At 46.6% G+C, this 13,314-nt stretch overlaps 1 protein-coding gene across 4 annotated transcripts in view; it reads left to right on the forward strand.

The window, feature by feature from the left end:
• The window catches only part of FLNB (filamin B), a 163,830-nt gene that overhangs the window by 115,709 nt on the left and 34,807 nt on the right, over window positions 1-13,314 (forward strand). For 3 of the 4 annotated variants that reach the window (NM_001457.4, NM_001164318.2, NM_001164319.2), the window contains exons 22-28: window positions 202-375; window positions 1,451-1,613; window positions 2,472-2,632; window positions 6,611-6,778; window positions 8,678-8,801; window positions 10,486-10,642; window positions 11,849-12,038. In NM_001457.4, the coding sequence (NP_001448.2) occupies window positions 202-375; window positions 1,451-1,613; window positions 2,472-2,632; window positions 6,611-6,778; window positions 8,678-8,801; window positions 10,486-10,642; window positions 11,849-12,038 (1,137 nt within the window). Of the gene's footprint in view, window positions 1-201; window positions 376-1,450; window positions 1,614-2,471; window positions 2,633-6,610; window positions 6,779-7,796; window positions 7,890-8,677; window positions 8,802-10,485; window positions 10,643-11,848; window positions 12,039-13,314 lie in introns of all 4 variants that reach the window. The other variant, NM_001164317.2, reaches the window with a different exon arrangement.

The raw sequence follows: 13,314 nt of genomic DNA on the forward strand, positions 1-13,314 counted from the left end.
TCACTTAGCCGTGGCTACTCTAGAAAGGCCTTCTTTGGGATGGAGGGGGTTAATATTCTTGATTTGAGAGTTAGAAAAACCAGTTTTCCAGTTACTGAAATTGGACTTCATGTGTCCTGAAGTGCCAAGAACCTTGGTTCTGGGGTTTGCTTTTGGGTCTGGGGTACTGGTGGCAGTGTTAGCTATGTGCTTGCTCTGCAGATGTGTTCCGGGAAGCTACCACCGACTTTACAGTTGACTCTCGGCCGCTGACCCAGGTTGGGGGTGACCACATCAAGGCCCACATTGCCAACCCCTCAGGGGCCTCCACCGAGTGCTTTGTCACAGACAATGCGGATGGGACCTACCAGGTGGAATACACACCCTTTGAGAAAGGTGAGCCGCCCTGTCCTCGGACTGGACCCTCGTTCAGAGCTGCCCTTGGTCATTGCCTCCTGGTGGCTGGTACTGATGCCTGCCCCATGTGCTAGGCCTGTCTCAGCAGGGCCACGTGCAGAGTGACAGAGTGGAAGTCAGCGTCCGCTGCAGTCACCTGCCCACTCAGTGCCTGGCTTGCTGGCCTTGTGTAATAGGTGGGCTGGGTTTAGCCTCAGTCTCACCTCAGCAAGTTATGGGGTAATGTCATGATGTTGCTCATTTGTGCCATTTTTCTTTGCGTATGAATTTCTTTCTTCTTGAGTATTAGGAATTATAAAAAATTTCAATAAATAGAAAACCATAAAGAAAAAAAAGTGCCATGTATATCTCCACTACCTGGAGATCGGAAGCCTGCGATATTCTGATATAGATATTTTCAGTCTTCTTGTGGATGCCTGTTTCTTCTGTTTCACGGGTTTCGCTTTTTCTTTTGGTTAATGGCTGGATGGTGTTTTCCCGAATGAGAGTAGTCTGTTTAGGATGACTGACTTGAATATTTGCTTGGTTGGGGTGGAGTGGCTTATGTGACTGCAGATAGACGGTTTGTATTATTTAAAAGTCAGATCATACCTACATTACTGTGGGATTGTTTTGTTTTGTTTTGAAACAGGATGTCACTCTGTTGCCCAGGCTGGAGTGCAGTGGTGTGATCACGGCTCACTGCAGGCTCAACCTCCTGGGCTCAAATGATCCTCCTGCCTCAGCCCCCTGAGTAGCTGGAACTGCAGGTGTGCACCACCACACTCAGCTAATTTTTGTATTTTTTGTAGAGATGGGGTCTCGCCATGTTGCCCAGGCTGGTCTTGAACTCCTGGACTCAAGTGATCTACCCACCTCGGCCTCCCAAAGTGCTGGGATTATAGGTGTAAGCCACTGCCCCCAGCCACATTACTGTGTTTTTAACCCCCTTTTCCAAATAACATAGTATAGCATGCAGACTTCGATGCTAGATGAAACTCTGAAGTAGAGAATCATTTTTCACAAATAGGGGATTTGTATGCAAATATGCGTTTCTGTTTGTTGTTTTGAGCAGGTCTCCATGTAGTGGAGGTGACATATGATGACGTGCCTATCCCAAACAGTCCCTTCAAGGTGGCTGTCACTGAAGGCTGCCAGCCATCTAGGGTGCAAGCCCAAGGACCTGGATTGAAAGAGGCCTTTACCAACAAGCCCAATGTCTTCACCGTGGTTACCAGGTAGGCAAGGCCCTACATTTGGTGTCTTGAGTCTCACTTTTGTGGCTAGATTCTACCTATGTGTCATGGTTTCCTAACTTTTGATAAGATGAATTTTTATTTTTATAACATGTATTTCCTTCTGTAGAGACTTATGTTACATAGAAAGACCAAGCATACCTAAAAAACATACCAAAGCACTTGATAATGGTCATGAAACTATTTAGCAAACCAGGAGTCAATCAAGCTCTATAACTTGATAATGTAAAAATTTGTAGCCAACCTTGTAAGTATTTTTATTAAAGTTGGTTGCAAGGCATATGCCTGCGTTGTACTTGCAGTCCTAGCCAGTGCAATTAGATAAGAAAAATAGGCTGGGTGTGGCGGCTCACACCTGTAATCTCAGCACTTCAGGTGGCCGAGACGGGACAATTGCTTGAGGCCAGGAGTTTGAGACCAGCCTGGCCAACATGGCAAAACCCCATCCCTACAAGAAATATAAAAATTAGCTGGGCTTGGTAGTACACGCCTGTAATCCCAGCTACTACTTGGGAGGCTGAGGCATGTGAATTGCTTGAACCCAAGAGACATAGGTTGCAGTGAGCCGAGACCGCGCCACTGCACTCCAGCCTGGGCAATGGAGTGAGACTCTGTCTCAGGAAAAAGAAAAATAAATGAAGCATAAGCATTGAAAATGAGGGGTCAGAGTGTCTTTACTTACATTATACTAATGTGAAATTCCCTATGTGAGAGGTGTAGTAATTGAGTTGGGGTGGCTACGTGGAATAGTTTATAAAGGGAATTTGCATGAATTTTGGCAATAAGCAGACCAGCATAAATAAATGGTGCACATTTCACTTTCTTTTCCACTCTTTCCAGAGGCGCAGGAATTGGTGGGCTTGGCATAACTGTTGAGGGACCATCAGAGTCGAAGATAAATTGCAGAGACAACAAGGATGGCAGCTGCAGTGCTGAGTACATTCCTTTCGCACCGGGGGATTACGATGTTAATATCACATATGGAGGAGCCCACATCCCCGGTGAGCTATTCCTCAGAGAGGACCCCAGAGAATAATTGATTTTGCAGGAAAATGGGTTTGATTTTGGTTATCTCTCTGAGTGGGGAAAACAATCTGATATTTGTAATAGCTGCAAAAGGAGAGTTTTTCTTAGGGCTACATCTCCAAGATTATCTCAACTCCCAGTAGAACCGGTAACATGGCAAAAAGCATCGGCTTAGAATTTTGACTGGAAACAGTTGTGCGTGTGTTGGAGGACCTAGTTCTTGATTCAGGGGAAAGCTGGTTCTTTACAAAGTTGAAAATCACAGTGGCTCACACCTGTAATCCCCAAACTTTGGGAGGCCAAGGCATGCAGATTGCTTCAGGTCAGGAGTTTGAGACCAGCCCAGGCAACATGGGGAATCCCCATCTTTACAAGAAATACAAAACTTAGCTGAGTGTGATGGTGCGTGCCTGTAATCCTAGCTATGTGGGGTGGGGGCTGTGATGGGACGATGTCTGAGATGGGAGCCTGGGAGGTTGAGTGAGCTGAGATTGCGCCACTGCGCTCCAGCTTGGGTGACAGAGGAAGACCCTGTCTCAAAAAAAAAAAAAAAGAAAAAGAAAGAAAATTTCTACCTTATTTTGTGCTTGGCTCCTTATTCATGTGTCTTGGTTTCTTTTTTTTCACTGACAATACTAGTAGCTGATCAAGATATGCAGATTCAAATTCTTTCTTTTGTATTTAGTGATGTCATGTGTAATCACTGTGAAACACGGTTTCTCAACTCCGGCACTATGACACTTTGGGCTAGATGATTCTTTGTGGTGTGGGGCTGTCCTGTTCATTGTAGACTTTTGTCAGCATCCCTGCCCTGTACCTGCTAGATGCCCATAGCAGACTTCTCCTTCCCCATTCTTATTTGTGGCAACCAAAAATGTCTCCATATCTTGCCAGATGTCTTAAGGGACAAAATCACTTCAGCCTGAACCACTGCTGTAAAGATTCAAACAATAAATAAATATATGACTTAAGTAGTGAAAGACCCTCCTCCATTTGTTTTGGGGGGAGGACTCTCCATAGGTTCTAGTTATCTACTCAAATGATTGTCACCCCCACACATTTTATTTATTTATTTCAATAGCTTTGGGGTACAAGTCGTTTGTGGTTACATGGATGAATTCTATAGTGGTGAATTCTGAGACCACCTCCCCCGCCCCCATTTCTAAAAGGGCAGGCAAGTGTGTGGTGTGGACAGAAGACCGAGGGCTGGGGCTGTTCTGGGCCACTTATGCCTTGTCTTAGGTGTGGTGTGAAGAGGGCAAAGCCCCACCCCAGGACCCCAGGAGCAGAAAGAGCCTCAGCGGGGTCTTGTTCTTCTTTCTCTGGGTCACGCTGAGAGGGGAAGGGCAGGTTGAGGGGCCCACTGCTGGGTTCTGGGTTAACTCTCAGGCAGCTGGAGTGTCCACTGACCACACGCTTTCCTGATTCCATTCCTGCTTCCCCCTTACCACATGGAAATGTGCACACACACTCACACTCACTCTCTCTCACACTGATCAGAAAGTATTGACATTCAACTCAGACTGATTCTACTCAGATACTCATTTAAGCCTCAAGTCATTTAAAACAACATGTTTCTCCTCAAACTTGTGCTTGCGGCTCATTCAATATAGATTTAAAAAATTCCTATAATCACTAGTCTAGGGGACTTCAGCTGTGGGCAAGACAAAGTTCCTGCCCTCAGGGAGCTTACTGTCTAGGGCTTTTACAACTAAAACTTGTGATGACTGCTATGAAGAATGAGAATGGGGCTCGGTGACAGAATTCAGAGCTACGGGCTTGTTTTGGAGTTTTGTAACACTTGCGTTAGGAGAGAGTTGGGCACAGGAAACGGGTAGAAGGCTGCTCCCAGGAGGGGTGATGTGGCTCCGACCTGGCAGGCAACAGTGGAGATGAACATCTCCTGTGGCAATGAAACTTTTTGACTATGGGGAAAGGCTGGTGAGTGCCACCAGCTTCCGAATCCCCCTTACAGAAAGGGGTCAGAGTTTGTCCCCTGTGGCCGACCTGTGAGCTTAAAGCAAATGGTCGTCTTTGAGCATAACAACAGAAAGACACTCATTTGTGGTTTTCCCATCAGGTGTGGATGGTGCCTTTTTATGTTTCAGGCTCTCTGTTGCCTCCCAGAGAGCCAAATGCCGGCTTTTCCAGAACCCCAGAACTTTCCCAGGCAGAGATATTTAGTGAAGTGTTGGTTGGTTTTCTAAGCATCAGGCTTCTTAGCTAAGGCAACCTATGGGGGTACTGCCGGGAAACAGTCGGCTACCTGCCACCTTCTAATTTGCTTTCATGGTAATTCTGGGTGCTTAAATATTAGCCTAGTTTTTCCTGGCCTGGTTAAAAACCCGGAGTGGAGTTATTTTTAACAACGTGTCCTGTCTTACCCGTAATGGCATGTTGATTTCCTGTGGTAGGCCAGCTGTGGTTGGTTGGTGGCGGCTCCCTAGACCACTGGATTGACTGGGGTTCAGAGTGCATGAGGAAGAAGATCTGGCATGAGGGAATGGTGACATGTGTCTGGGCATGGAACAGGGGAGTGGCGGATAATGCTTGGGGTCTGCCATCTTGGACAGTTTATCTTACCCGGGTTTGTTGGTTTTTGGCTACTCTCATGCTGAGCTCAGACAACTTCTAGTGGAGGCTCTGACTTAAAGATTGGCCTCAGAGGTAGTCCCTTGCCATCAGCTGTTGACATTGAAATCCTCAACTGTCACTCTCTAAAGTAAAGCCCCCTTTTGTTCCTCTCACCCCAGTGTGGAGGCCTGTGCTTGTTTGCCAGGGCCAGCCATTTATTTCACGTAGCTAAAGACCTGGATGCCGTTGAAACCCAGCTGTTGTTAGAAAGCCAGGGACTCAATTCTTTGTGTGTCTTGGCTGTCTACCATCTCTAATTCTACAAAGTATAAATTCTCTGGGATGCAAAGCAGAGATCCCTCAGCTTTCACGGCAGTCATTAACTTTGCCAGATACCATGGGGAGCACCAGGACTCCCATGCGAGGCAGAGGTGCACGTAGCCCCTTGGTGATGGGCGTGGTAGCCTGAGGCATGCTGCCGTTCGCTGGATGGGGAGGTCCCCCTCCACAGTGGAGTCCATGAGTGTCCTTGGCCTAGCCCTTGTTTCTCTGTTTAGCACTTCTCTAGCAAATCACTATCTCCTCTCCTCGACTCCTCTGTGCTTCATCTTTAAAACTGACACCCTCAAGGAGTCAGAGGCCCTCAGGGTCCCCCGGGGGGTCAGCCATGTAGCAGGAGCTCAGCTTACACTCAGGAAGACGGCAAGGCTTCACCAGGTGGCCGAGTGACCGAGAAGGCTGAGTGTGGTCAGAAGGTGCCAGCTGCATTGGAGGGAGAGGAGTCTGGGGGACACACAGGAGCCATGTGTGGGGGACAGGGCTGGATGTGGGCTGCAGGGCCTGCCCATCTCTCTCCGTTCTGTTGTTCCACCACTTGGCTTCCTCCTTCAGTTGCTCCAGCAGCCTGTCTCCTCCCTCGCCTCTAGGCTCCTGCATGTGCTGAGGCCTCTCTACTTGAAGCACCTCTCTGTCTGCTCCCTCTTGTGCCGCAACTGAGATGTTACTGGAAAGCTTTCTCTGGTCTCCCGCAGACCAGGTTAATTGCCTCCTGAGTGCTCCACCTTCCACACCCCAAATATGTTATGTAGGATGTTAGAGTGACTTGCTTGCCTCATCCTTCTCCTGCAGTTGTGGGTTCCTGGGGGGTGTTAACCGCTCAGGATCCAGCACGTGGCACAACATCTGCACGTAGTAGGTGTTCTGTGAGAATGGTTGACAACAATGAGTAGGCACATGAGCAGTGCACACAGTGAGGCAGGGGGAGCTGACCGAGGCCTGCATGGCCGAGGTCCCGGGGGAGCAGCAGTGCTATTCTGGGTGTGCACAAGGTGGTCTCCAATTCCCAGCTTGTGCTCAGAATCCCACAACCTCTCTTCCAGGCAGCCCCTTCAGGGTTCCTGTGAAGGATGTTGTGGACCCCAGCAAGGTCAAGATTGCCGGCCCCGGGCTGGGCTCAGGCGTCCGAGCCCGTGTCCTGCAGTCCTTCACGGTGGACAGCAGCAAGGCTGGCCTGGCTCCGCTGGAAGTGAGGGTTCTGGGCCCACGAGGTAAGTGTGCACCCTGCCTTCCTGCAGACATTCATCTGCCCCAGGCAGGGGCAGCTGTAACCCAGAGCAGATGCTTTGCTTTTGAGTTTGCTCATGAGCTTAAAATTAAATTAAAAAAAATTATTGTTTCATTTCTAGTTAAACAGTAGAAATTCCTGCTTACAAGTAAGCAGGCTTGTTATTTCTCCAGTGATCTGTCCCCCCATTTAATAATATGGCTATCAATTTCTTAGAGGAAGCAGCAGTATTTGGGCTGTCATATGTAATATGGTGGCGACTGTTTCATTATGTGTTTCAGCATTTGTGAGGGGGTGGGTTGCTCTGGATGTGGCAGATGGTGGGGTTTGGAGGTGATAACTCATTGAGATATCTTGGTGTCCATGTGGTACATACCAGAACCTCTGGGAATGCCAGGCACATGATGCACGTGATACGTGGCTTTGTCATTGTCTTAGTTCCCCAGAGAGAGAGTGTGTCTTGGGGAATGGGCTTTGTTGGCAATTTGGCCTGCCTTGTTGGCAGCTTGGAACTTGGGTTTGGTAAGGCTAGCGGGCCATATAGGGACAAAGCCCTGAAGTGCATTGGAACTTGCCTTTTTTGATAAGTGACCATGTTTCCTCCTCCAGCACTTAAAATGTGCCTTTCTCCCACATAGAGGACAGTGTGCCTAATTTCTTACGTAATCTGGATTTTCCTCGCCAATGATATGTTCTTGGATTCACAGAAGTGGCAAATGGGGTTTTCCCTCTTTGAAGAGGAACCTTCTCCTTCATGGGGTTCAGCAGGAGGTTTTATCTTTTGAAGCTCAGGGCAGAAATGGTTTGGGGGAAATTAGGTCATGGGTCTGGGATCAGATTCTGTGAAGTTACTGAGCTTCAGGACCTGCATGTGTTTGTGTGCATGTATGTGTCCCTGTGTATGTGTGAATGAGAGAGGGAGAAAAAGAAGAAAGAGAAGCTTTACTTGGATATCTGCCTCTATTATGAAGGACTCTCAAGTAACAGCCTTTTGATTTTAGCTGACGACACGGATTCCCAGTCATGGCGCAGCCCCTTGAAAGCCCTTTCAGAGTTCTTTAAAGGTGACCCGAAGGGTGACTTTAATAAGACAGGTTTGCATTTTCCCATGGCTGCTGAATTATGTAACCCAAATGCTTCTTGCTGGCCTCACTTCTAAAATTGCTTACACCTGCCTCATCTGCTTTGCTTAATGAGCATGCCATCCTTTGATTAACCTACCCTGGAGTTGACCCATCCTTGACTGTCACGTTGGAAGCTGGGATCTGGACTCTGCAACCCAACGCGTGCCTTGATTATGTTTTAGCATAATCTCTAACATCTCCACAGGCTTCACCTTGAGGGTCCCCTTGCCCCATGAGATTGGCACCCTCACCTGCCCTGCACCTATGCCCCAGCATGCTGGTACCACAGTGTTCTTTGCTCAAAGGTGGCCACAAGTCTTGACTAGCCAGCCCATTGGTTAATTTTTGCTCTTCACAATTCTGGACTCTTTGGCAGTGTCTCAGCTGTAGAGTAAAATTGCCACATCCTAAGCGTGCCTAACCAGCTTGAAAGGTTATATTGTGTCTTCAACACACATCATCCACATACACCCTCCAGCAGCAAGCACAGGCAGTCTCCTTAATTATACTCTAGGGCAGACTGAGTGTATTTTAGCCAACAAAAAGCTAAAGGTGTCTCTCGGGGTCATTTCTGCAACCATGAATTGGGGATCCTGTGATTTTTTTCAGGCCTGTGATTATGGTTGCTGGCCTTTTTGTTACTCATCAGTGGAAACCAATAGCTCTTGGGGATGGATGTGGTCCTATTTCAGACTCAGCCAAGGGTGGAGTAAAGGTGAGGCCAGGCAGCTCCTTAAACCTCTCATCTCTGTCCTCAGGCTTGGTGGAGCCAGTGAACGTGGTGGACAATGGAGATGGCACACACACAGTAACCTACACCCCATCTCAGGAGGGACCTTACATGGTCTCAGTTAAATATGCTGATGAAGAGATTCCTCGCAGGTAAGCTCCATCCATCTGCCCATCCATTCCTCCATCAGTCTATCTGTCCACCCATCCATTCCTCCATCAGTCCATCCACCCATCCGTTCCTCCATCATTCCATCCATCCACTCATCCATTCCTCCATCAGTCCATCCATCCACCCATCCATTCCTCCATCAGTCCATCCATCCATCCATTCTTTCATCATTCCATCCATCCACCCATCCATTCCTCCATCAGTCCGTCTACCCATTCATAGAGGCAGCAAGTATTACATAGAACCTGCAACTTGTCACCACACACTAGCCTTGATATTTGTGGCTCCCGCTCTCTCACTCCCCCAGTTCCTTTCAGACATCTTTAGTTTAAAGGTGAGCTGAAATTAAGAAGTTGGAAATCCTAACCACGTGTGGTGGGATTCGCCTGTAATCCCAGCTACTTGGGAGACTGAGATGAGAGGATCACTTGAGCCCAAGAGTTTGAGGCCAGCCTGGGCAACATAGACCCTCCCCTGACATCTCTGGAAAAAAAAAAAAAAAAAAAAAAAAAAAAGCAATAGTAGTAGACAATCATTGATGAAATAAATAATTTATTAGTTTATTAGAGGCTTCCTTTTGGTGTTTTGGTGAACCTGCAAGTAGTTTTCTGATTGGGACAGGACAAAGGTCTTTACTTCAGGGTTTGCTTGATAAAAGCATTTCCAAAAGGTTTTACATAGAAACCTTGTTCCTTGTTGATATTAATACAAAAAAAAATGTTACATAAGCTCTTCACCTCTTGGAACAATCTCTAAGGGTTTTCTTTTCTTTTTTTAAAAAATCATGCCCCTTAAGATGAAAAACTTTCACCCATATCCCCTAACACATATTTTATATAGAGATAAGCATATTAGCTCTATGTAGAAATATGTAATTTATAAATTACATTTGTATATTGCTTTACTAATATACCATGTACCATATGAAGCATACTATAGAATAATTATAGATACAGAATATAGAATAAGATGAGATATAAATATTAAAACTGAAGTTCCAGTATTCTCTTTCCATTTGGTGACCATGATCTTAGCATAACAAAAGTGGGGTAAATGTGTTTAACCCTGTGTTTCCCAAACTAATTTGTGAACTCTTCCTCCCCAAACTACTTGTATCCCTTGGAACAGAGGTCCCCAACCCTTGGAGCGTGGACTGGTGTGGGTGCACGGCATGTTAGGAATTGGGCCGCACGGTGGTGGGTGAGCCATCATTACTGCCTGAGCCCTGCCTCCTGTCAGATCAGCAGCTGCATTAGATTCTCATAGGAGTGCGAACCCTATTGTGAACTGCACATGAGAAGGATCTAGATTGCACACTCCTTGTGAGAATCTAACTAGTGCCTGATGATCTGAGGTGGAACAGTTTTATCCTGAAAGCATTCCCCCACCAGGCCCCCTGGTCTTCTACGAAACCAGTCCCTAGTGCCAAAAAGGTTGGGGACCGCTGCCTTGGAACACACTCAGGACAAAACCAGTCTGTCATATGATGGTTACTACCTCATAGTTGTAAATTTCTGCTAGACTTAGGCACCTTGACTAACTCACTGTCTTATCTGCTGTAGAAATCCCCTTTTCCATCCCACTCTTATGTGTAAGAAAAGTCAGATGCAGCTGGGTTGACATGTATCTTTATTGACTAGGGTGTGTGTGTGTGTGTCTATCAAGTCCCTTCAAGGTCAAGGTCCTTCCCACATATGATGCCAGCAAAGTGACTGCCAGTGGCCCCGGCCTTAGTTCCTATGGTGTGCCTGCCAGTCTACCTGTGGACTTTGCAATTGATGCCCGAGATGCCGGGGAAGGCCTGCTTGCTGTTCAAATAACGGTAACTTGGAGTTATTTTCTGAGCCAAACCTTAATCCTAAGACTTAATTTCTGGGCCAGATTTAAGAACAAGGGTTTCAATAACCGATTTCTGACTCAATGCAAGTTGTTTGTTAGATTTTCCCACCAAAGAGTCAGTAAATGTGCAGAAGCAGAAGCAGCTCACCTGAGAGATTTGAGGGTGTAGCTCCAAGAACCACTTTTTGGTGAATTTTCATGTTTTTTTACTACATCTATTCCTATGTTTTTATTTTTATTTTTTTTAAAGATGGGGTTTCACCATGTTGCCCAATCTGGTCTTGAACTCTCTTGGGTTCAAGCAGTCTGCCTGCCTCAACCTCCCAAAGTGCTGGGATTGCAGACATGAGACACTGTGCCCGTCCCCTATGTTTTTATTTTTAAATGTTTTAAATTACTCTTTGGTTCATTTAAGACTAAGTTATGCTGCATATCACAGTAAACCTTAAAATAAGAGTGGCTGAAATAAATGAGATTATTCTCTCTTGTTAAGGAACCCCAGGCTAAGCCACCTGGGTGCCCTGCAGCTCACCAAGGAAGTCAGCTCCATCTCTCTGCTCCTCTACCTAGCATGTGGCTTCTGTCCTTAAGGTCTCCTCCTGGACCATAAGGCTGCCAGTGCTCTGGCCATCACATCCACATGGCAGGCCAGAAGGAGGAAGAAAGAAGGGAAAAAGGGGTCCTCCCAGCTCAGTGGGCTCTCTTAAGCAGCCCTGCCAAAAGTCCATCATAGACTTCCATTCCCTTCTGATTTGTTGGGGGTTGGTCACAATTCACATTACCTAGTGGCAAGGATGCTAGGAAGTGGATTCCCATCTTCTGGGAGCGGTGCACCTAGCTAAGAGTTATGGTCCTGTTAATAAAGAGAAAAGGGAGACTGGATGTGGTGGTGTGTGAGCAGAAGCCTCTGCCTCCTCCCCTCCCTACATTTCAGAGGATTTCGAGCTAAAACACTCTTGGTTCACCTGACAACAAAATTACTAAAAATTGGCCATGTCTGTCATGGTGTTAAAGGGATCTGTGACCCTCTACTCTCCCTACCAAAAAACAAAACAAAACTAGATTGTATTAAGCCATCAATTCTGTCTGTTTCCACTAGAGGCACTAATTGGAAAATATGTCAGGGTTTTCCATGAATGTTTTCTACATCTTGACAACATCCTAAATAGCATTTCTCTATGATCCACAGGACCAAGAAGGAAAACCCAAAAGAGCCATTGTCCATGACAATAAAGATGGCACGTATGCTGTCACCTACATCCCCGACAAGACTGGGCGCTATATGATTGGAGTCACCTACGGGGGTGACGACATCCCACTTTCTCCTTATCGCATCCGAGCCACACAGACGGGTGATGCCAGCAAGTGCCTGGCCACGGGTGAGTACAGGGCATCTCAAGGTCAGGGGCACAGGCTTTGCAATCAGAAAGCCGGGCCGTAGCCCTTCTCTGTGACTTACAAGCTACATGATCTGGGCACGTTGCTCAACCTCACTGAACTTCAGTTTGACATAGATTGAAGCTCTTTGTTTTTATTTGGAGAACATTTAGATCCAAGAAGCTCTTCTAAGGAACAGAGACTGTTTTACAGGGTTACTGCAAAGATTAGATGAGGTCAGGCATGAAAAATGCTTAGCACAGTGCTAGGTACATGATAACTATTATTATATGCTTTTGAAATGTTGAGAACCCAACTCTGATGGCGGCTCCCATGAAAAGCAGCACATTTCTGCCTTTTATGAGTAGATAGTTACTCAGGATTCATTCAAGAGCATTTCAGGTCAGCATTAGAGAAACACATTTAAGGATCTAGGTTTTTTTCATCATGCATATGTAAACCTCTCAGGAATTCTCCATGAATATTTGAGCATCACAGTTTCTTTGGTTTCTTTCTTTTTTTTTCCCCTCCTTTTTCCTTCAGTTTCTAAGACACAACTATTGACTGTCACAGGCCATTCTTTTTTTTTTTTTTTTTTTTTTTGAGATGGAGTCTTGCTCTGTTGCCCAGGCTGGAGTGCAGTGACGCAATCTCAGCTCACTGCAGCCTCAGCCTCCTGAGTAGCTGGGACCACAGGTGCCCACGACCATGCCCGGCTAAGTTTTGTATTTTTAGTGGATTCAGGGTTTCACCATAATTGGCCAGGCTGGTCTCGAACTCCTGGCCTCAAGTGATCTGCCCTCCTCAGCCTCCCAAAGTGCTGGGATTACAGGTGTGAGCACCACGCCTGGCCGGCCTTTCAGTTTTTAAGAACAGCCCTTGGGCAGCTCAGTGCTGCTGCTCAAGCAGATTTTAAAACACGAATCCCCATCTCTAAAATGAGACAGATTTACTTCTTTTTAAATAAGAAGACTAAACACAGGACCACCCTTGATGTGTTCTGTTTCTCTCTTAGCCCATCTTTTTTTGAATGGAGAAAATCTGGGCTTTCACGGCAAGGTTGTGAATTGCTCAGCGTGGCCCTTTTTGGCTCACCCATGGCAAAAAATGGAAAAATTTTGGAATGCAGGCCAATCCACCACCTCCTAGGTCTATGCAGCTGCCAGCGACAACCAGATCATCTTTACTAATTGATGGCATGTTAACGTTGGATGGGGACTTCCCCCTTGCCTTGCAGGCCCTATTTCCTCCCCCAGCTTGGGCAGAAGCCTGAGCTGA

Source organism: Homo sapiens, chromosome 3, assembly GCF_000001405.40.
Source record: "Homo sapiens chromosome 3, GRCh38.p14 Primary Assembly".
Classification (NCBI taxonomy): domain Eukaryota; kingdom Metazoa; phylum Chordata; class Mammalia; order Primates; family Hominidae; genus Homo; species Homo sapiens.